The sequence below is a fragment of the Homo sapiens genome, chromosome 19, assembly GCF_000001405.40.
Source record: "Homo sapiens chromosome 19, GRCh38.p14 Primary Assembly".
Taxonomy (NCBI): domain Eukaryota; kingdom Metazoa; phylum Chordata; class Mammalia; order Primates; family Hominidae; genus Homo; species Homo sapiens.
This window is the reverse complement of record NC_000019.10, coordinates 42,350,454-42,372,445: the sequence shown is the minus strand read 5'-3', so window position 1 is coordinate 42,372,445 and position 21,992 is coordinate 42,350,454. Positions and strand designations below refer to the sequence as shown.

Here is a 21,992-nt window from a genome sequence, read left to right as displayed (position 1 = left end):
GAAGGAGCCTGGGACATCATGGAGGCAAGTCTGGAACACAGCAGCCAGCCAGGTGGCCAGTGCAGGCACTCCAGGAGCCTCTGTGCAGAAGAAAAAGGGAAATGCACTCGAGGGGAATTTGAATCTGGGTATTAAATGATATGAGATCTCTGCTAGCCTCAGTTCATCAGAGGGGGTCTGCCAACTGGGAAGAATCTGCCTGAAAATGAAGCCAATGCAGAGGAAAGCAGAGTCAAGATGCAGAGAGACTTCTGATGGCATTGTGTGAGCACCCGGATATAGCCAGTCCTGAAGGCAGACCCCAGACCCTCAGTTCTAAGAGTCAATACATTTTCTTTTCTTCTGTTGTGTGTGTGTGTGTGTGTGTGTGTTTGTTGTTGTTGTTGTTGTTGTTGTTGTTGTTGTTTTGAGACAGAGTCCTGCAGCCTCGACCTCCTGGGCTCAAGCAATCCTCCCACTTCCACCTCCCAAGTAGCTGGGACCACAGATGTGCACCACCATGCCAGGCTAATTTTTAAATTTTTTTTCAGAGATGGGGTTGCACTATATGGCCCAGGCTGGTCTTGAACCCCCGGGCTCAAGTGATCCTCCCGCCTCAGCCTCCCAAAGTTCTGGGATTACAGACATGAGCAACCATGCCCAGCCCATTTTCTTTTTTCGGTTGAGCTACCATGGGATAGATTTTCTGGCATGTGCCACCTTTAGCTGTGACTACCTGTAATGGAGACTGTCTCCCCACCAGTCTGAGAGTCCCCCAGAGGCTCATATCTTGGTCCCCAGCATCACTGCCTAGGGCCTGTAACTGAATGGGGCTCAGGAACAGTCTGTCAAGCTGCACTTGATCCCAAAACCACTGATTTGGAACCATGTTGTCAGTCCTGCCCGAGCCTGGCTACCTCATCCCAGCCCTGACCTCCACAAGGTGTAGGGCCCTCGGCCCACCACTAGCTTCTGCAGCCGCACCTGGTACTTGTAGCAGTCTCGACGGTCACTGGGGGAGCTGCCCTGGCATGTGCCCGTCTCTGTGTTATTCTGACATGGACAGCCCGTCCCATCCTGCTCGTTACATGTGTCCGCGTGGCCATTACACTGGCATCTGGGGAAGAAGTTGAGGGTTACGGAGCCCCCATGGCCTGCAGTGGTCCAGGATGGACACCCCATATGTGAGCTCAACTCTGTGCAACAGGCCAGAAGAGGAAACTGAGGTTCACAGAGGTCAAGCTGTTTGCCCAAGGCCACAAAGCAGTTAAATTACCATTGGGATTAGAACCCGAGTTGCACAGACTCCAGCACTCACTGAACACTCAGAAAGAAGGAGATGGAAAGGGGAGGTTGTTCCAAGGCCTCTGCCCTCAGCCGCCCCATCTTGTTCTCGATGGGGCCGCTCTGTGGACTGCACTTCAGCACTAGCCTTGGAGGTAGGGAGTGGCATCACATTCCAGCTCCTTCCCTACCCTGACCCCAGCCTGGGCGCTCCCTGGGGATGTCATCCTCTCCTGACTGGGGGTGGAGGACTAAAGAGGGGGCCTGGCTCCAGAGCTACTCCCAGTGAGAAGGGTGGGATCCCCGGCCTCCCCCCCCCCCCCCCCCCCCCCCCCCCCCGGTTCCTCTTACTTGGTGCACTTCCCGTCCAGGAGGAAGTAGCCCTGCAGGCAGCTCTCGCATTTCTCCCCATAGCTGTTATTCTGGCAGTTCACGCACACGGCCTCGTCTTCACTAGGACCCTCTGTCACCCAGTTTTCAATCTGGCCAAGGAAGGACAGTGTGATCATAGAAAGGCCTGGACCAACCCCCTCCTCCCTCAGACCCAGGAGTCCAGGCTCCTACCCACTCCTCCCTCAGACCCAGGAGGCCAGGCTCCCACCCCCTCCTCCCTCAGATCCAGGAGTCCAGGCCCCAGCTCCTCTTCCCTCAGACCCAGGAGTTCAAGACCCCCACCTCTACTCTCTCAGACCCAGGAATCCAGGCCTCCAGCCCCTCCTCCCTCAACCCAAGGGTCCAGGTCTCCAGCCCCCTCCTCCCTCAGACCCAGGAGCTCCCCAGCCCCTCCTCCCTCAGACCCAGGCATCTGACCCCTCTCTTTCACCTCCTCTGGGTCCAGTGAGTACTTCTTTGGCTCTCCCTTGGACATTTGTAACTCCTTCCTGGAGATGCAGATGTGGCTATTTCCACGACAAAAGGCGTGGCAGGGCCGGCAGGTCCCGCCTCCGACAGCTGAACCCACAAACAGCGGGAGGCACTGCTCACAGTGGCTGCCCTGAGAACCCAGGACAGGGTAGTTAGAGAGGCTGGAGAGTCATCAGGGGTAGGAGGGCGTTGGGGGCACAGGGGCAGGTTCTGAGAGCCCACGGGAGGGCAGCAGAGGCTCGGGTACCTGGTTTGGACAATCCCAGCGGGATTTAGCCCCCGCCTTCCCTTGCACACCTGCAGCCCAAAGTGCTGAGTTCAAAAGCCCTTCCCTCCATTATCTCAAATCCTCCTCCACGTGCCTGTCCTCCTGGCGCAGCACCCACTCCGTCCACTATTCCAGGGCAGACCCTCTGGGATCCAAACCCAGGCAGCGTCCCCCAAGTCTCCACACATCTCCCTGGGACAGGGCTCTGGCTTATCTGTCCCTGGCTTATCAGGGCTCAGGATGAGATGCGAGCCGCCTGAGCGTGGGATGAAGGCAAGTGAGGGCCTGGGTCCCAGGGTCGGGGGTCTGAGGCTCCGGGCGGCCCACCTTGGTGTGGTTGCGGCAGAGCAAGCAGTGGTCACGCGCCCCAACACCAGCGCATTCACTGTGGCGGTTGCAGCGGCATTCCGTGGAGCAGTTGCGGCCCACAAAGCCAAAGTGGCAGCGGCAGTGGTCGGGCTCCACACATGAGCCGTTCACGCAGCCCTGGGCGCACACAGGGCGGCACAGCCCTGTCATGCTGCAGGGGCAAAGTGGGGGTCAGGGCAGGTGGCCACCCTCCTCGTGGCTTCATGGCCTAGCACCCAACCAACTACCCCACCCTCTTCTCAACTGGTTGCTCATCCCTGCTCTGTCCCGTTGCTATCTTCTCTTCAGGATCTAGCCCACCACCCCCTCCAGGTGTAGCCCACAACCCTCTCTCCTCTTTTGAGGGTACCCTATTTTCTTTTTTATTTTTTTGTAGAGATGGGGTCTCCCTGTGGACTGGTCTCGAACTCCTGGCCTTAAGTGATCCACCTGCCTCGGCCTCCCAAAGTGCTGGGATTACAGGCATCAGCCACTGTGCCCGGCCATTGGGGTACCCTATGAAACTCACTCTTCCCTGCTCAGCCTCACCACTCTTGACCTTCAGGAATCAATCCCACTGCCTTCATGCCTCGAGCTTTCTTTTCTTCTGTCCTGCTTGGCTCTAGGCCTCATCCATTACTGCTCCCCACAGACTCTCCCACCCTAGCCTGCCTGGCCCCAGCGCCGCCTGCGGCCTCACTTGTCCATGGTATAGCCGGTCTTGCAGCTGCACTCATAGCCGTGGGGCTGGTCGTGGCAATTCTGCGTCTCGTTGCAGTCGTGGTGCCCGTTTGCACACTCGTCCTCAGGGGGGCAGGACAGGAAGGCCCAGGAGGCCCCCGGACGCCCACATGTCAGCCCTAGCACCGGGGATATAGCATTTTACCTGGACCTCTGTACCACCTGCCCCAGTTGCCTAGGCCCTCCCTCCTGCCTCCTCTGAGCCCCACCTCTGGGTCTGGCCCAGTATCCCTATGTTCACTGTATCAGACCCCAACCAAGGGCCAGCCCCTCTCCCCCAGTGCCCAAAGCCCTCTCACCATCACGGGGGCCGCTGAGTCCACCCTCCATGCAGCGGCCACCCCCATCCTGGCCCCCCCAGGCACACCAGCCGCAATGGGGGCGCCGCAGGCACAAGGCGCACTGAGTTGCCTGAGCACAGCCCAGGGAGCAGCTCTCAGGTCCCCGGAGCAGCCGCCCACAGCCTCCGGCCATACATCGCAGGGGCAGGTAGGAAGGGCTCAGACACTGTATGGGGGGGAGGGGATGGGGATGCAGGGAAGAGAGAGATGGGGAAATAAGCTTAAACAAACACATTCTGGGTATCTTCCCAGACCACACCCTCTTTGAGGTCTCACCCCTCCCTGGCCACAGGTAGAGCAAAGTGGACACTAGCTGGGGTCATCATGTTTTCCCTCTCAAGCGTTTGTAACTACACACCAAGGCGGGAAGTCAGGCTGGGGAGGATCTTGAAACTGGAAGGTTGCCTGGCCGCAGTGGCTCACACCTGTAATCCCAATACTTTGGGAGGCTACAGTGGGAGGATCACTTGAGCCCAAGAGTTCCAGACCAGCCTGGGCAGCACAGTGAGACACCATCTCTACAAAATATAAAAAATTAGCTGTGTGTGGTGGCACACATCTGTAGACCCAGCTACCTGGGGGGCTGAGGTAGGATTTTTTGAGCCCGGGAGTTTGAGGCTGCAATGAGTCATGACTGCACCACTGCACTCCAGCCTGGACAACAGAGTAAGACTCTGTCTCAAAAAAAGAAAATAAACTGGAAGATCGCGTAGACTTGGGTTGAAGGGATTGTTTAGATAAGCAAATGATGATTAAATAAAGAGGACGCAGACAGGCAGGAAAAGAGCAGGCTGCAGAAAGAGACAGAGATGAGAACCACGTGCCCTAAAGACAGATAGAAAGGCAGCTTTCCAGTCTGTCTCCAGTTCCTTGTGAGGCCCTGCTGTACTTTCTATCCTGGGTTCCAACAGGTACTACTGCATTGGTGGAGGGAGTTCCCCTCCTCACTAAGGGCACTTCTGTTTCTTCCAGGTAAAGGAACAATGGCAATGTTCCCAGAAGGAGACAGAAAAGAGTATCAGGAGTGGGGTTGCAAACCACAGTTTCTTAGAAAAATGTAATCCCAGCACTTTGGGAGGCCGAGGCGGGCGGATCACGAGGTCAGGAGACCAACACCATCCTGGCTAACATGGTGAAACCCTGTCTCTACTAAAAATAGAAAAAATTAGCCAGGCGTGGTGGCGGGCGCCTGTAGTCCCAGCTACGCAGGAGGCTGAGGCAGGAGAATGGCGTGAACCCGGGAGGTGGAGCTTGCAGTGAGCAGAGATCGCGCCACTGCACTCCAGCCTGGATGACAGAGCGAGACTCCGTCTCAAAAAAAAAAAAAAAAGAAAGAAAGAAAAGACAAGAAAAAGAACAAATGTGGCTGCTGAGGCAAAAAGGCTTCTCTTACCCCACACTGAGAACCTGAAGAGTCCTTGGTTAGGGGCTGGGTAGCAACTCACAAGCCATATTTGTATGTCAGGACCCCAAAAACGTGCACAATGAGATTCAGGCTCTTGGGAACTTACCTCAGTGTATAAGGCACTTTATTTATTGCTTGGGCCATAAGTGAAGAATAAGAGGAAAGAGGTTAATTTGGGCCGGCTGCCTGAAAGCACTTAGGAAAAGGCAAAGCAACCATGGAATCCTGAAATAGAAAACCCTGACTGCTGTGGCTGGAGCTCTGAGCCCACTGAGGGGCCTGCAAATCACTGAGACTTGCTGAACTGCCAGAGGCAAATTCTCTGCTGGGCTGGGCTTCCAGATCTAAATTTAGGGCACTTGTTGGCAGATGGTGGGACAATCTGGGAGGGGTAGAGAACCCTGAATCCTCAGTCCTGGACAGCACTTTCTGCTGTAATCTCCCTAGTGACCAAATGCAAAGATGCCCAACACCATACACTGCATTTCCTGAGTTCATGGAAAAGGTGTATGAACATAAGTTCTGAGAGCAGGACTCTAGCTCATCTGCTGACATTCCCCACTGCCTAGCAAAGCACCCAGCAGAAAGAAGGTGCTCAATGATAAATTCGCTGAAGAGAGGGAGGGAGGATGAGAGGAAGGAGGCAGACCAGAGAAGGAGTGTCTCCGCTGCCTGCCCCAGACTCACAGGCCAAAGCCATTAAAAAGAACAATGCTGGGCCAGGCGTGGTGGCTCATGCCTGTAATCCCAGCACTTTGGGAGGCCGAGGCAGGTGGATCACAAAGTCAGGAGTTCGAGACCAGCCTGGCCAATATGGTGACACCCAGTCTCTACTAAAAATACAAAAATTAGCCAGGTGTGGTGGCGTGCATCTATAGTCCCAGATGCTTGGGAGGCTGAAGCAGGATAATCACTTGAACCTGGAAGGTGGAGACTGCAGTGAGCCGAGATCATGCCACTGCACTACAGCCTGGGCGACAGAGCGAGACTCTGTTTCAAAAAAAGAAAAAAAGAACAATGCGGGATGGTTAGAATCAGGCAGCCCTTGAGCCAAATCATAACAGGTATCACCTGCACGCCTATTATGTTTGATTTGTGCGGTGGAATCTAAGCCAACACTTCTTTTTTTTTCTTTAGACGGAGTCTCACTCTGTCACCCAGGCTGGAGTACAGTGGTGCGATCTCAGTTCACTGCAACCTCTGCCACCCAGGTTCAAGCGACTCTCCTGCCTCAGCCTCCCGAGTAGCTGGGATTACAGGCACCTGCCACCATGCCTGGTTAATTTTTGTATTTTTAGTAGAGACAGGGTTTCACCATATTGGTCAAGCTGGTCTTGAACTCCTGACCTCACGATCCACCCACCTCAGCCTCCCAAAGTGCTGGGATTACAGGTGTGAGCCACTGCACCTGGCCTAATTTTTTTTTTTTTTTTTTTTTTTTTTAGAGACGGGGTCTCGCTCTGTCACCCAGGCTGGAGTGCAGTGCTGTAATAATGGCTCACTGCAGTCTCAACCTCCCAGACACAAGTGATCCTCCCACCTCAGCCTCCCAAGTAGCTGGGACTACAGACACACACCACTATGCCTGGCTAATTTTTTTTTTTTTTTTTTTGTAGAGATGAGGGTCTTGCTATGTTGCCCAGGCAGGTCTCGAACTCCTGGCCTCAAGTAATCAATCTGTCTCAGCTTCTTGAAGTGTTGGGATTACAGGCCTGAGCCACCCCACCCAGCTAAGCCATCACTTTAAAGCTAGGAGGTTTCATAGAAAGTCTGGTAAAAGTCCCCTCTCACATTCACATACACCATCAACAATGCTCATCTGGCCCCTGGGGACAGGCTGTGCTCTCCAATTCACTGGCCCCACCTCTTCCCCTTGCCACCCTCCTGGCCACTCCCCCATCTCCTTAGCTGCCCCAGCTCTTCAGGCGTGTGAGAACTTGGCAAGCACCGAGAGGCTGGGGGAACAGCGCATGCCCGCAGGACTGTGGGTATGCCTTCTGCTCCCTGGAGCTCCCACAAAGATAAATGATGGAAATTTCAATAATATCTGGGGAGAACCCATACTACCATTAGGATCCCAGGCTTGGAGACGAGAGGCCTCTGCTTACCACAGACCAAAATCACAGGGGCTTCTGCCCTTCTGGCCACATTGACAGCCCCCATGGGGAACTCCCGCAGCCACCCTCTTGGTGTGTCCCATACAGTGGAGACTGGGAATCCTCCCAGTGGCAGGACTTGGGTCAGCCAGATTGGCCCTCTCACCACTGCTCATTACAGTAACAATGATCATGATCATTAGCCATTTTTTAGTGCTTCCTGAATGGCAGGCATTGCTCTATGCTCTAAGTAAATTCTCCCCCATTTAACTGGTACAACCTCCCTAGGGGACAGGATCTAGTGAAATGATTCCCATTTTAGCAAACTCTCCCTGAGGTCTTGGAGAGGGGAAGTCACTCATCCAAAGTCAAACAGCCAGGAAGTGGCCAAGTTGGAGTCAAACCCAGATCCCACTGACTTCACAGCCTGAGCTTTTGATCGCAAGGCAAACTACCTCCGGGTGAGAGCTAATGTACCACTCCCAGGCAGGGCTCCTGGCACTGGATGCCAAGGTCTGTGGGATTCTTGGTCCTCCACACCCTGCCCTCCTGGTCTCGAATTTCCACGAAGTGCTGTTGGTTTCTTTAGTCCACCTCTCAAAATGGCAAGTGTCCCACATCCCTGCACTGTTGTCTACTAGTGTCTGGGTGGTGGCTGGACTGATCACTTAGTTCATGGGTTGTCGGATGGTGAGCAGTTTTGCCTCAATTGGGTCTTGCATAATCGAGGTATGAATGAGGAGTGGGCTCTGGCTGAGTGACATTGCTTCCACATGTGACAGTGGGAGGTGAATGTGTCTTATCTCCCACGGGGGGGCAGTGGGGTGGGGTGCGAATGCCTTTGTCTGCCACCACGACAGTTTAATCATGTCAGGTGGAAGCGTCTTTGGAATGGAGTTTCTGGAAACAAGAGAGCATGTGCCAGGCACTCCAAGGGGTGGACTGTCACGGGTACACACATGCCTGCCTAGGCCACACCCACCTTCAGGAATCATCTCTCCACCCCACAGCCTAGAAGAGGCCTAGATCTGACGTGCCACGTTTGAACCACGTGCTCCTAGCCCTCCCTGGCCACATCCCACTACACCAAGGCTGGACATGTAGCTCGTGCACTAAGTCAGAGTTTCTCCTCGAGAATGTGAGCTAACCGACAAACACAGAGATGAACGTGGTCTCTGGAATTAGAAGGCATCTAGACTGGGAGTCAAGGCTGCAATCTGAGGCCATGTGTGTTGACTATCAGACCGACAGAAACCCGACAATGGAGAAGTGTGGAGAACAGCTGAGATTACGGGTCATGTGGCCTGAGAGCAACAGAGCAGAAACACTTCCTGCTCTCAGAGTCCATCAAATACCCACACTTCCTTATAACAAAACCAGCTCGAGGGAGTGTCTGTTTCTTATAACCAAAAGTTCCATAAGTAGAGAGAGAAAGAGAGAGAGGAGGGAAGCAGAAAAGGTTTGGGAGGTTGAAGGAAGAAGCATTAAGAGTCGTGGATGTGAACCTATGAATTATATCGACAAAATTAAAAACAAAAAATTAAATTAAAATTTTTTTAAAGTCATGGAAAGGATGAGGAGACCATGATACCATGGACAAGAGTTGGAGAGGCAGAGGCCAGGGGTTGGGAAAGTGGCACACACAGAAGCATGGCTGGAGGACACAACAGGGACCCTCATGAGGCAACGAGGGAGGAAAGAGATGGTGGCACGAGAAGGAAGCACGACTGCAGCTAGAGCCAGGGAGATGGAAGGAGGAGGGTGGAGGAGATGGTGGAAGAAAGGTCCCTGCCAGCGCAGAGAGGAGGGAGACCTGCCCGGGCCCTTGCCTGGCACGGTCCTGGCCAGGTGCAGTACCTGCTGCAGGCTGCTGCTCCAAACACAGTGCTGCCAGCCCCCATCTGCTCCCTTAGAGTCCAGGCAGGAGGTACAGTTGGGTAGGAGGTGACAAGGGGTGGGGCAGGGCAGTGGGGGTGATGATTCCACCGGCATGGGGGACACATTCAGCAGAGAGTGGCTGAAGCACGTCCAGTCATAGGTGGGCTGCACGGAGAGGATGCGGCGGGTCTCCCCTGGGGGTGGGGCACGGGGATTAGAACCTCAGACCCAGGAGATCGCAAGCCCAGCCCCTCCTCCCTCAGACCCAGGAGCTCAGGCCCAGCCCCTCCTCCCTTAACCCAGGAATCCAGCCCCAGCCCCTCCTCCCTCAGACCCAAGAGATCAGGTGCCCAGCCCCTCCTCCCTCAGACCCAGGAGTCCAGGCCCCCAGCCCCTCCTCCCTCAGACCCAGGAGTCCAGGCCCCAGCCTCTCCTCCCTCAGACCCAGGAGTCCAGGCCCCAGTCCCTCCTCCCTCAGACCCAGGAGATCAGGGGCCCAGCCCCTTCTCCCTCAGACCCAGGAGTCCAGGCCCCCAGCCCCTCCTCCCTCAGACCCAGGAGACCAGGCCCCCAGCCCCTCCTCCCTCAGACCCAGGAGTCCAGGCCCCAAGACTCCCCTCTCAGGAACTAGGCCCACTGCTCACCTGTCCTCTTGAACTGCCGCGTCCACATGCACTTGCCCTCCCGCGTGCACTGCTCGCAGTCAGCAGCCCCGCACGCAGCCTCGGAGCAGTTCCCTGCCCAGAAGACCTCTCGCTGGTTGATCCGACAGTCATTCTCAGAGGTGCAGGACCCATTGCGTCCAATGCAAGCACCTTCGGGGCAGTTGGTACACCACTTACAGCGGGGGGTGGACGCCTGGTGAGGGAAGACAGGCTAGATGGGACCCTCAGCACCCCTCCTGAGCCAGCTGAGAACTCGGTGGTTCCTGAGACCCTGGGGTGGGTGGGACAGCTGACCAGAGTGGAGACCAGGACCTCCCTGCCCTACACCTGCTGCTTCTCATCCCTGCCTTCCCCACCACTCACCTCTCCATCTCCAGGTTGCAGGGTCCGAGGATGGCGGGCCAGGCACTCACTGCAGGTCCGGAGACGTCGACATTCCTCCGGGGAGCGAGGCATTGGGGAGCAGGGGGAGCCCCCGCAGCCCAGCCTAAAGGACATGAGGCCTGGCTCACTCACACCCATCCAGACCCCCTCCTTCTGCCTCCCAGACACTGTCCTGCAGGCCCCCAACCCTGCATCCCAAGCTGGACATAGCACAGGCCTCCTGAGCCTGGCTGTCCCCACCACCATTTGGTAATAGATGGTCCCACATCCACCTGTCACCCAGGCTGGAGACGCTGGACCACACCCCAGGTCCTCCTGCCCATGCAGCCACCGAAGCCTTCTGCCTCCTGGATTTCTCCCTGACCGTCCCCTCCTCCCCACCCCTGCAGCCCCTTGCCCAACCTGGTCCCCACCTGCAGGCTCTCGTCACTCTACCCCTCACAACAGCGCCAGGGATCTCACTGCCCAGGCCCGTCCCTGCCCTGTCCTGCTCAGGCCTTCCATGGCTCCCTGTCCTGCACAGGGGGGGTCCACAATCCCTTACCCCAAATCCCAAGAGGTACACACGTTTCAGACTGTTCTGGATTTTAGAAAAGCAGTGGGTGTACCCACTGTTACACAATACCTCCAGTGGGGTCTGGGGTAAGGAGCACTCCGAAATCAAACCATTAACATTCCTGTAGTAACTGACAACACACCCTTCGGGCAAATAAGGCCAACTAATAGCCTCATATCAGTGAGGGTGACTGGGCAGCGAAGTGAGTCTGTGCTAAGCCTAAGAAAACACTTTCAGTGTCCAGGATGTCTGCATTCCTGGAACCGCAGCTGAAGGATCTGTGGAGCTGGACAGAGCCAGTGCCTCTGCCAGGCATGGGAAGCCCTTTCTGAGCTGACCCCCTCCAGCTTCCGGTCTCAGCCTCACTTCTGAATCACTGATGGTCTCAACTCTACCGTTCTTTTAAGGCCCAGTTCAGACCCAGCTCCTCCAGCAAGCATTCTTGCATGAGACCCCAGTCCCAGGCAGGGATCCCCACTCAGAGCTCCCCCGGCCACCCTGCCTGCGGTGATTCACCCCTTTCCTGAACCAGACGGTATACTCCTGAGGCCTCCATCCTGGTGTGGCCTAGCACAGGACCCCCATTAGAGGGCTCCACTCCCCACTGCCTGTCATGGTCGCCATGGTTACCTGTGGGCCTGATCCCCGGACAAGCAGGCCCCATGGCACCAGGTGCAGGCCCCAGACTGGTTACAAGCTTCAGGTGAGGACAGCAGGCGGCAGGGGTCAGGGGGCAGGGTCAGTGCCAGCAGGCGGCCCAGGGCCACTCCCCCGAAACCCCCAGAGATATACAGGCGGCTCCCGACTGCTGCCACAGCATGGGCCACAGACTCCTCCATTGGGGGCCCCACAGAGGCCGAGCCTGAGGAAAGATGGTGTATTCAGACAGATAGAGAGCAGGAGACTCCAGGAAGAGACCCACACCATGATGCCAGTCAGAGAAGGATGCAGGGAAAGAGGAGAAACACAGGGTCAAAGGACAGCAGAAACAAGGCCAAGGGCGGTGGCTCACACCTGTGATCCCAACACTTTGGGAGGCTGAGGCAGGAAGACTGCTTGAGCCCAGGAGTTTAAGACCAGCCTGGGCAACGTAGAAAGACCCCGTCTCTACAAACAATAAAAAATTAGCTGGGCATGGTGGTGCGCACCTGTGGCCCCAGCTACTTGGGAAGCTAAATTAGGAGGATCACTTGAGCCCAGGAGGTTGAGGTTGCAGTGAGCTGAGATTGCACCACTGCACTCCAGCCTGGGCAACAGAACAAGACCATGTCTCCAAAAAAAAAAAAAAAAACAGCAGAAGCAGAGAGGAAACACATGAGGATAGACAGCAAGCAAAAAAAAAGAGAGGGAGAGAGACACAAGCAGACAACAAAGGAACACAAAGAGGGAAATAAGAAGAGAGACAAATGTTTTCGAACCAGATAGATGTGGCGGCTGGACAACTCTCTGAAGGCACTAAATGCCAATGCTTTTTTTTTTTTTTTTTGAGAAAGAGTCTTGCTCTGTCACCCAGGCTGCAGCCAATGTATTTTTAAGATGGTTAATTTTATGTTATGTGACTTTCACCTCAATTTTTTTAAATCCTCAAAAAATAACTGAGAGACACAGACATGAAGTAGTCTCTGTCTACTGAATCTGAAAAGACAGATTAAGAGAAAAAGGGAATTAAATCCCAGCACTTTGGGAGGCTGAGGCAGGTGGACTGCTTGGGCCCAGGAGTTCAAGACCAGCGTGGGCAACATAGCAAAACCCTGTCTCTACAAAAAAAAAAAAAAAAAAAAAATTATCCAGGCGTGGTGGCATGCCTGTAGTCCCAGCTTCTTGGGAGGCTGAGGAGGGAGGATTGCTTGCTTGAGCCTTGGAGGCAGAGGCTACAGTGAGCCAAGATAGCATCACTGCACTCCAGCCTAGGCAACACAGTGAGACCCTGTTGCTAATAAAAATAGAAAAAGAGACAAAGGGTCAGAGAGAGAAGCAAAAAGAAAAGGAGACAGTCCCAGAAACACACTCACAACAGTCACTCACAACATTGAAATAAAAAGGCAAGTGACAGGCATGCTTCTACCTATGAACAGCAAAGACTGGTAGGAAACACCCCCATGTCTAATAGTGGTTGTCTCTAGAGAGAGGGATTATGGGTGTTTTTTTTTCTTTCCTATTTTACAAATTATATATAGTGAACATTGTTACTTTTACAGAGTAAAAAATAAACTTCTCTAAGAAAAAAAAAAGGAAGGAGGGCATGTCCTGGTGTTCAGATAATCCAGAAGAGCGGGAGCTCTGCCAGTGGGTCTGCAGGGGCCCAGTGACTCCTAAGGAGTGGGAGTCCCAGGATGGGGATGGGGCTCCTCCTGGATGTCCCTCAGCCTCCTGGGAGCCACAATGGGGACTTACGGGTGAGGTCGGGCAGAAGCCAGGCATTGCAGTTGACCTGGTAGAGCAGAACGTCGCTGCTGAACTCGTCAGGGTCCGAGCGCCCCCCAAGAACCACCATGGTGTCCCCTAACAGGGCTGAGGCGTGGAAAAGCCGGGGGCGGGGCTGTTGGGGAGACGGGGGGTGGGGGGACAGGACAGCCTGTCAGAGCTGTCCTCTGCTCCCTCTTAGCCCTCCAGCCACCCCTGTACTTCCCTACCTATCCCCCCCTACCAGCCCACCCAATCCTAACCCTCTTCAAATCTCACCTCCTTCAGGTGAGGTGAGATTTCCTCCAGGAAACCTCCTGTACCAGCAAGAGCAGCCCACAGAGCCATCTTCTTCCTGACTTCCCGGAACCCCCATGACCCAGGCTGCTCCCCAGGAACTTGGCCCAGACCCCGAGATGAGCCACGCACATTCCTCATACGATCTCGCTAGTGACAGTGGGGGCGTCCTGGGGTTGAGGCTCCTCGAGTCTCTTGCTTCTAGCCCCCTGCCTCCAAGACGGGCTTGGAAACGTGTGGACTGAAACCACCAGCCTCTCTAACCAGTGCAGACAGGGCTCCCTGCCCTCCCACACACATTCTCCTTGGCCTTGAAGGCAGAAAGAGCGGGGAGCCTCAGTCCTGGTTTATACGAGTGGAAAAACCCAGGACGGGGAAGGGGCCTGCCAGGGCCGCACCAAGACTCAGGGGAGAGCTGGGCAGAACTCATGCCTCTGACCTCCTGGCCTCGGGTTCTCTCCTCCAAATCAGGGATGGAAGCGGGGGAGATGTGGGGGTGTCGCTTAGTTAGGGAACATAGAAAGGAGGGGAAGCAGGAATCTGGGATGGAGCCAGTCCCTGGGGCACTGGGAAAGAGGACCCCTCCCTCCTGCCCCATACATCCTTGGGTCTGAGCCTCTTTTCCTGACCTTTGCCCCCTGAGAAGGGGCCAGCAGACTCCAGGTGCGGTCAGGACAGTGCAGGGAGTAGAGCTCGGGGGATGGGGCCGCCAGCTCCACATGGAATCGGAACCCCCCAAACACGTAGAGGGAGTCGGTGGCCTCGTGGTAGACAGCAGAGTGACCATAGAGACCTGGTGAGGGGCAGGGTGACAGGCTGGGGGAGGGGCTGACAACAGCACTGACCCCGCCGACCTCCCGGTCCCCTGTTCGGTGACCACTCCCTTCCCCGGCCCTGAGACTGGAGGCCTGGGAGCCCCTCTCCACCCGTCCCTCTCAGTTGGGTTCAAATGGACAATCATTAGAGACTCTGGGAAAGAGAAGGGAGTCCTCAACTGGCAGTAAGTTCTGCCAGGCTCTCGGGAGGGAGACAGGGCGTCCAGAATGTCTAGGGGACAGTGATCAAAGAAAGGAGGTGTGATCGAGGAAGAACCCTTGAGAAGCAGGGAGCTCAGACCCTGGGGGCAGGGGACGGTGGCCACATGTGGCCGGGAGTGGGCAGTTAGTTGTGGAGTCTGGGAAGGACAGTCAGAAAATCTGAACATTCAAGAGGGTGCCCTGAGAATCTGCATGGGGATGGGAAAGAGAGGGAGACAGGTGGCCACAGAGCACAGCAGTGGATGGAGAGCCCACAGGAAGCCCAGATGCCCGGGAGGTCCACGGGGGCTGTCCCCTCCCGGTCCCCAGCCCCACCTGTGGGGGGTGTCCCACTCTGGGCTCCTGACACCCAGGTGCCGGTTGCCAGCTGGTACTCCAGCAGCTGCTGGTTGAAGCCATTTTCCGGGGAGTAACCGCCCACCAGGAGCAGAGACAGGCCTCGGCGGGCAGTAAGGGTGTGACCAGCAACGGCTGGCAGCTCCACGGTCTGGGGGGCCTGAGGGATGGAGGGGCAAGGTCACCGATGGGGCTAGAGGTCAGGGGTCACCTTGTGGGTAGAAGCGAGCCTCAGCCCCCCACAGTCCTCCCTGAAGTACTAAGGAGGGAATGACCCCCCCAGGGCCAGTCGGACCAGCCTGGGTCCTGGCAGAGGCACAGTGGGCCCCTTGGCATTTCCACCTGCTCAAGCCTGGTGTGGCTTTGGGAAGCCCTTGCTCCCCTGGCCTCTCTCTGCTGCTGAGTGAAGCTGTGTCCCAGCCCAGGACTGGCTCAGGACAACAGTGTGACCCAGGATGGCCGAGGAAATTCAAGTTTGGGGCTTCTGTTTCCTCTGGGGATGGAGCTGGCAGGAGCTACCACAGCTGTCTCTGTCAGGGCCCAGTGTGAGGGCTGGGGAGTGGGCTGGGGAGAGATGCTCACCTTCTCCTGCCGCCATTGCAGGGTGGTGAGGTTGAGGACCCAGAAATCACGGGTGACGCCTCCAGCGGTAAGTCCCCCCAGCAGATACATGGCACCACGGCCAGCGGGCACATATGCGGCTGCATGGAAGGAGCGGGGCGATGGGCCTGGGCCCCCGTCCTCGGCTCCCGCCAGCATCTGTGTCCACCGCCGCTCACTCACTGAGTACCTGGGGCCAGGGTGCAAAAAAGCAGCCTCATTACAGTCATCCCAGCATCCTTCAAGGTGACCCTGCCTGACAGATGTCCCCGCATCCCCTGGGGTGACCTTCCTATGACAGTCCTCTTGCCATTCCCTGGAGTAGCACCACCCAAATAAGTACCCTGGTCCCCAAGTGTCCCCGGGTGAGCTTCCTGTGACAAGTGTCCCAGCATCCTTTGGGCTGTCCTTTACCTTAGAGGCTTTTCTGCACTCCTCTGAGGTGACTCTTAGCATCCCGAGGTGACCTTCTCTTATTTGCGAATCCCACCTGCCCAGGGCAGTCCTCACCTGTACAGGTTTCCCAGCAGCCCCTGGGGCAGGCCCAGGCCCCCAAACATCCACAAGGTGGCATCGGGTCCATCCACCATGGTGTGGCCCAGGCGGTGCAGGAAGCGGCTGGCAGTGTCCTAGGGGTGGGTGCGGACATTGGGGATCAGGCTAGGGTCAGGACAAAGTGCCAGGCCTGGGTGTAGGGGTGGTCCCAGGAATGGAGGTGGGAGAACGACCTGGGAGCAACCATCCCTAGACAGCGGGTACCCACAACTCACGGCTGAGAGGCGGCTGTCCATGAGGGTCTCCCAGACCAGCTGCCCGCCATCCAGCTTGGTGGCGCAGTCGGGGCCCCCGAAGCCCTCGGCACAGATGCACACACCCAGGCTCTGGGGGATGACAAGGGACTCAGGGGAGCCCTGATCACCAGCCCTGTCCCACCAGACTTGCCCTCTCCCACCTGTACCTGGTTACAAGTTCCTGCCCCAGTGTGGGCATTGCAGTTCTCAGGACACAGAGCCATGCGGCAGTGTGGGCCAGCCCAGCCCTGAGGACATCGGCAGAGCCCCGCACCTGCAGCACCGTCCTGGGGCACGCATTCCTGGGGGACGGGACAGCTCCCGGGGCCCCCTGACCCACAGCGGGCAGAGCCCACCGAAGCATTGAAGCCCCAGGATGAGGAGCCATTGGCCTCCCAGTGCAGCACGAGCAGCCCTGTGAAGAGAGAGGCCAGAGGCTGGTAGCAAAGTCACGTTCCTGGCCCCTTCCACCCCCAGATGCTAAGAAAACCCAGTGTGACTGGGCAGGGAAGGAAGGCACCATATTATTCATAATCATCGCCAGGATGAACCATTCTGCACCCCCTCCCTCAGCCAACCCATCAAGATTGATCTTCAAGCCTAAATCTCTCACCGACTGCTAGCTACCTCCTGAGCTGCTATCCAAGCCCAAGTCCTGTCCCACCTGGACACCGGCACCCATCCCCTACTGGTCATCCTGGCTGCCTACACTCCCCACTCATGGTGGCCCAGCGATCCTCAAAACGTGAATTGGGCCCTGTAATCAGCAAGCTCCAAACCTTCCACAACTCCTACTGCCCTTACATGAGACTGGATCTCTTTAGAAAAGATACTGATTTGGGGGTAGGTGTGACAGGAATTACTTGATATGTTAGTATATATAAAATATGCCTCAATAAAGTTATATATATATATATGCCGGGCGCAGCAGCTTATGTCTGTAATCCCAGCATTTTGGGAGGCCAAGGTGGGCGAATCACTTGAGGTCAGGAGTTCAAGACCAGACTGGCCAACATGGTGAAACCCTGTCTCTACTAAAAATACAAAAATTAGCCAGGCATGGTGGCATGCGCCTGTAATCCCAGCTACTCGGGAGGCTGAGGCAGGAGAATCGCTGGAGCCCAGGAGGCAGAAGTTGCAGTGAGCTGAGATTGCGCTACTACACTCCTGCCTAGCTGGAAAGAGTGAGTGGTGTGGGATCCTCACACCAACCACATTCTATATGCCCCAGAGACATGTCTCATTCAGCCCTTCTCTCTGCAGACGTAGCTCAGCCGGCGCAATCCTATTTTCCTCTCAACTAAGGACACTGAGGTCCAGAGATGGTGAGGGACTACATCACCCCATAAGCAGCGGCAGAGCTGGGTCCTGAGCCCACTTCAGGTGGTGAGTTCAGGGGCAAGGGATACATAGCCCAGGACTAAGAGGTCCCACTTCCCCTAGCCCCCGTACCAGACAGGGCCTGAACAGTGAGGGGCCTGTCCCGTCGCTGGCCGCAGAAGGCAGCTATGAGGCTGCGGTCCGACTGGACAACACCAGTGTCCAGGAAGCGTGGGAATCCATCAAACGCCAGGACGTAGCTCAGCTAGAGGGGTGCAGAATCGAGGATTAGGAGACAATGAGGATGAGAACGACACCTGGGGTCTGGGAGGAGGAGGGGTTCAAGAGGGGAGGGCAATCTGAGACTGGGAAATGGGCTGTTTGAACATCCAGGGGAGACTGTCAAACTATGGCATAAGGCCACCACTCCCCTTCCTGTGTCCAAAGTAGACACGGCTCATCTATCAGGCACTCTTGCATTGAGCCCCTTTCTCAACATGCAGCTCCTGGCAGTCAGTACCAATCAATCAGAGTTGGTGTACAAGGTGTAACAATTTACCATTCCTGCTCTAGGAATGGGGAGATTGAGAATCTGGAGAATTGGAGATGGGAGCTGAGGAAATAGGAAGCTATCTGGGAAATGGGGGGGTCTGTCTGTGGGCCTAGGAACAAAGTGCTGGGGATCTGAGGAGGAGTTTGGGTTTTGAAGGATTAAAAAAACAAAAAAAAAAAAACAGCAATACTAGGGTCAGGGTCTGAGGATGCAGGCTGGGTCAGGGGACACGGTTCTGGCTCATGCGCCTGAACCCTCGTTTCCTCAGTGCTCACCGTGCAGGGGGTGCTGCTGTCGGGGGAGAAGGTGAGGGTGAGTGGGGGACAGAGGGTCCCGGGAGCACAGGGCTGTAGCTCCTCAGTGGCCGAGACAACCCACACACAGTAGGACAGGCCAGGCCCGGCTCTTGCAGCCCCGCCACCTGGAGGCAGCAGCCCCCCGACCCGGCGTGAGCCCAGTGCCACTGAGGACACGTTGGTGAGGAGGGCGCGACCCCCACACTCCCGAAAGCAGGAACCACCGGCCCTGGGGAGATGGAGAAGAGCCAGTGTCAGACCAGTCCTGACCCTCCCCACTGTGTCCCCAAGCACACCCTACCCAGCCCTGGCTGGCCCGTTGGCTCACCGGGGATCCCCATAATAGCCTGGGGAGCAGAGCTGGCAGTGGGCACCCTCGGTGTGGTCCTGGCAGAAGCAGAGCCCACTGAGGTTGTCGCAGTGGCCACGGCGTGGGTCCCCGTGCCCGTTGCACTGGCAGGGCCGGCAGCCCCTAGAGCCTGTGGCGTTGCCGAAGCTGCCGGGCCGGCATCGTTCGCAGTGCTCCCCCCATGTCCAGTCTGTGGAGGCCCCAGCAGGTGGGACAGAGTCAAGTCAAGGGTGGAAACAGGCCCAGGCCTACTGGCTCAGCTAAACCCTGACCCCACCCAGCCGCTTCAAAGGTGAGAAACCAAGGCCCAGATCAGGGGAAACAGCAAGTCCCAAGAGGGGGAACTGAAGCCCAACCAGAGTGACGGGTGGCACTGAAACCTGTTTGAGTCAGGAACAGGAATGGGGCAGGGGACCTAGAGCTGCATGAGAGGACACTGAGGCCCCCTCCAAGAAGAGCAAACTGGAGCCCCAAGAAGGGAGGAGGCTCCCTGGGTCCAGGCTGGGCCCAGGACAAGGGCTGCTTACCCTGGCACTCGTCGCAGAAGCCAGGGCCCCGCTTGCGGCAGTGGCTGTGGAAGCTGCAGCCACAGTCCCGGGAGCAGCGGGGGGCTGGCGGACCCGGGGCGGGTGTGGGAGGGGGCAGGTCTGATGTCCAGCCTAGGTCACACACGCAGGTAAAGTCCGGGGGGCCACTGCACACACCATGGCCACAGTCCTCCAAGCACCTGAGGGGCCGTGTTGGGGGTGGGGAAAGCGCCAGGCAGGCCCAGAGCCCCTAAAGCACCCCATCATCTCCACCCACCATGACACCATCAAAGCCACTGGCTGTTTCCATGGTTTTGGGCTATGTGGGTGACCCTGTCTCCAAGGTAACTCCATGCATCACCAAGCCTGTCTCTATAGCAACCACATAGCACCACTGTGAAAACCTCTTTCAACTAGGTCCTCCTCCGCCTCCATGGCAACGCTGAAGACTATGGCCCACAGCCTATGGGTGCCCCATTTCCATGGTAACCAGGGTTACACTGGGGACCCTGTCACTCTAATAAGGACCTAGTGTGCAAGGTAAAAACCCCTGGCTAACTGGGGATGCTGGTTCCACAGGAGGGGACCCAGCGCCATGATGGCTTCCTCCCTCCACCTCCATGTGCCCCAGCCTGGGGCAACATCTCCATAGCAACCCCCGCCTCACTCACGTGCGGTTGCAGTGTGAGATGCCATCACCCTGGTAGCCCCGCTGGCAGTGACACTCGTAGCTGAGGGGCGTGTTCAGGCAGGTCGCCCGCGGGTGGCACCGGGCCAGGCCCAGGCGACACTCATCCACGTCAGGACAGCGGGCGTATGCCCAGCGGGCAGGGAGGGCCACGGGAAGCCCCAGGCCCTCCCCCACCCACAGGGAGCAGTTACCCCCACCGAGGGGCCCTGAGAAGTCCCCCTGTAGGCACCTGCAGGGTGGGAGAGTGAAGAAGCGGGGGACAACATAGAAACAGGAGCCATACATAGAAACAATGACAGGGAGAGAGGAGGCCAATTGGAAGGAGAGGGATGCAAATACAAATTTGGAAAGAGAGACAGAGAAACCAGGAGAAGTCGCAGACAAAAACAATTTTGGAAGACAGAAGAGAGACATAGACAGAGATGCAGTGAAAGGGAGAGCGGAGAGACAGAAACAGACAAGGAGAAAGAAAACGAATCGCAGAGAGCCGGAAAAGGAGGAAAAATGGAGAAAAAAGAGCGGGAGGGTAAAATAAACAACAGAAAAACAGTACGGAAAAGGGAAGGTGGCCATGGGATGGGCAAGAGGGCAGAGAAGCAAAGAGGCCATTAGAATGACCGGTCATGGAGGAAGGACACAGCCGGGCACCCTGCCCACCCACCTGCCCGGGCTCACCGTCCCAGTGTGGGGTTGTCCTCATTGCCACACCAGCCACACTCGTGGCTCTGCAGACACTCATGGCAGGTCAGGAAGCCATCGCAGCTCCGGCACCGTGGCTCCGAGTGTACACTGCAGGATGGCAGGGGTGGGGGTCAGAGCCCCAGCCCCTTGCCGGTGGGGAATCTTCCTCTGTTAGCCCTGCCCCAGGGACCATACCTGTCGTCCCAGCCTCGACAGCCCCCGTGTGGGTACCGGGCCAAGTAGGCAGCAAACAGGAAGCAGGTGTGGGTGGACTGGCACCAGGCGCACTGGCTAGAGTTGGCCAGGCAGTCCTCACAGGTCAGTCGCCTGGGGTGGGGAGCAGGGGGCCAGGTCACTCCACAGCCAGCACACATCCCCAGGCACATCCACCCACCCACTCCCTGCACCCAGCCTGACTCACTGGCTGCAGAGCGGGGGACACTCCTCTGGACTCTTCAGGGCACCCCGACCCCGGCCCCGCCGGCTGCATGCCGCGTCCCCTTTGCGGCTGGTGCTCTGATGCCACTCACAGAAGGGGTCCTGGGGGTCAGTTGGGCAGAGGAGTCAGAACCCCACTCAGCCCTTTCCTTTGGACTCCCAGTGCCCATCCCACCCCCTGCCCCACCCTGCAGACTGTCCCTGTAAGGCCATCTCCCTCCCCAGCTGCCTGCGTCTCTGGACCCCTCCCTTCGACCACAGACACCCATGGGTCGGCCCGCCCAGCACCCACTGTCTCCTTTAGGCAATAGCACCCCTTCTGTGTGGTCCGGGTGGGGCTTATTCAATCCTCAGGATCCAGAGGTGGGCAAGGGGCCACATTCCCTCCCCACAACTCCAGTCATTGGCCCAGGAGCCTGTACAAGGCCCAACCAGAGCCACAGAAGTGCAATTCTGGGACTTCTGTTGAGCTCCTGGATGGTGGTGGGGTGGGGGGAGAGAAATAGGAAGCCTCACTCTGTTTGAGACAGAGCAGGGACTTAGAGCCTGGACCCTTAACGGCTCCCTTGCCACTCACAAGGAAACAAACCCTCCCAGGGAACAAGAGGAAGCAGGGTGTCGAGGGCTGCCTGACATCACTTGGAGGTGGCAGGCCTGAAGGCCTACTCCTGGGCTCCAGTGCCTATGCTGAGAAACTCCCCGCTAGTGGAAAAGGATGGAGTTGCATTCTCTGGCCCCTACAACAGGGAGAGTCCTGACTCCCCAGGTGCCTCTCTCTACAGCTCCATCTCACCCTCCCCACCAGGCTCTGCAGATCAAGGCCAAAAGCCCTTGCTGTTTCCCCCACACCCCCCACCAGGGGTT

General features: G+C 57.0%; 1 protein-coding gene and 1 non-coding gene across 3 annotated transcripts in view, besides 2 other annotated features; both read right to left on the bottom strand.

Annotated features, from left to right (window-relative positions):
* The window catches only part of MEGF8 (multiple EGF like domains 8), a 53,131-nt gene that overhangs the window by 6,320 nt on the left and 24,819 nt on the right, over window positions 1–21,992 (bottom strand). For both annotated transcript variants that reach the window (NM_001271938.2, NM_001410.3), the window contains 26 exons: window positions 21,112–21,230; window positions 20,886–21,017; window positions 20,685–20,798; window positions 19,990–20,238; window positions 19,319–19,518; window positions 18,771–18,981; window positions 18,422–18,671; window positions 17,726–17,858; window positions 16,441–16,688; window positions 16,253–16,363; window positions 15,993–16,111; window positions 15,465–15,672; window positions 14,862–15,042; window positions 14,139–14,302; window positions 13,492–13,659; window positions 13,204–13,348; window positions 11,440–11,671; window positions 10,233–10,356; window positions 9,849–10,062; window positions 9,184–9,398; window positions 3,784–3,991; window positions 3,444–3,603; window positions 2,723–2,915; window positions 2,087–2,257; window positions 1,615–1,745; window positions 964–1,096 (listed from right to left, as the gene is read on the bottom strand). In NM_001271938.2, the coding sequence (NP_001258867.1) occupies window positions 964–1,096; window positions 1,615–1,745; window positions 2,087–2,257; window positions 2,723–2,915; window positions 3,444–3,603; window positions 3,784–3,991; window positions 9,184–9,398; window positions 9,849–10,062; window positions 10,233–10,356; window positions 11,440–11,671; window positions 13,204–13,348; window positions 13,492–13,659; window positions 14,139–14,302; window positions 14,862–15,042; window positions 15,465–15,672; window positions 15,993–16,111; window positions 16,253–16,363; window positions 16,441–16,688; window positions 17,726–17,858; window positions 18,422–18,671; window positions 18,771–18,981; window positions 19,319–19,518; window positions 19,990–20,238; window positions 20,685–20,798; window positions 20,886–21,017; window positions 21,112–21,230 (4,533 nt within the window). The remainder of the gene's footprint in view (window positions 1–963; window positions 1,097–1,614; window positions 1,746–2,086; window positions 2,258–2,722; window positions 2,916–3,443; window positions 3,604–3,783; window positions 3,992–9,183; window positions 9,399–9,848; window positions 10,063–10,232; window positions 10,357–11,439; window positions 11,672–13,203; window positions 13,349–13,491; window positions 13,660–14,138; window positions 14,303–14,861; window positions 15,043–15,464; window positions 15,673–15,992; window positions 16,112–16,252; window positions 16,364–16,440; window positions 16,689–17,725; window positions 17,859–18,421; window positions 18,672–18,770; window positions 18,982–19,318; window positions 19,519–19,989; window positions 20,239–20,684; window positions 20,799–20,885; window positions 21,018–21,111; window positions 21,231–21,992) is intronic.
* Window positions 2,466–3,419: an enhancer, noted in NCBI's record as "H3K27ac-H3K4me1 hESC enhancer chr19:42873179-42874132 (GRCh37/hg19 assembly coordinates)". NCBI's record gives its function as "activates a minimal SCP1, AML or CMV promoter by ChIP-STARR-seq in naive H9 embryonic stem cells {active_cell/tissue: H9 hESC(naive)}" and the evidence as "EXISTENCE:reporter gene assay evidence [ECO:0000049][PMID:30033119]".
* Window positions 9,584–10,083: an enhancer, noted in NCBI's record as "H3K4me1 hESC enhancer chr19:42866515-42867014 (GRCh37/hg19 assembly coordinates)". NCBI's record gives its function as "activates a minimal SCP1, AML or CMV promoter by ChIP-STARR-seq in naive H9 embryonic stem cells {active_cell/tissue: H9 hESC(naive)}" and the evidence as "EXISTENCE:reporter gene assay evidence [ECO:0000049][PMID:30033119]".
* Window positions 21,241–21,315, bottom strand: MIR8077 (microRNA 8077). The gene has a single exon (NR_107044.1). It is a non-coding gene; the product is annotated as a microRNA 8077 (primary transcript).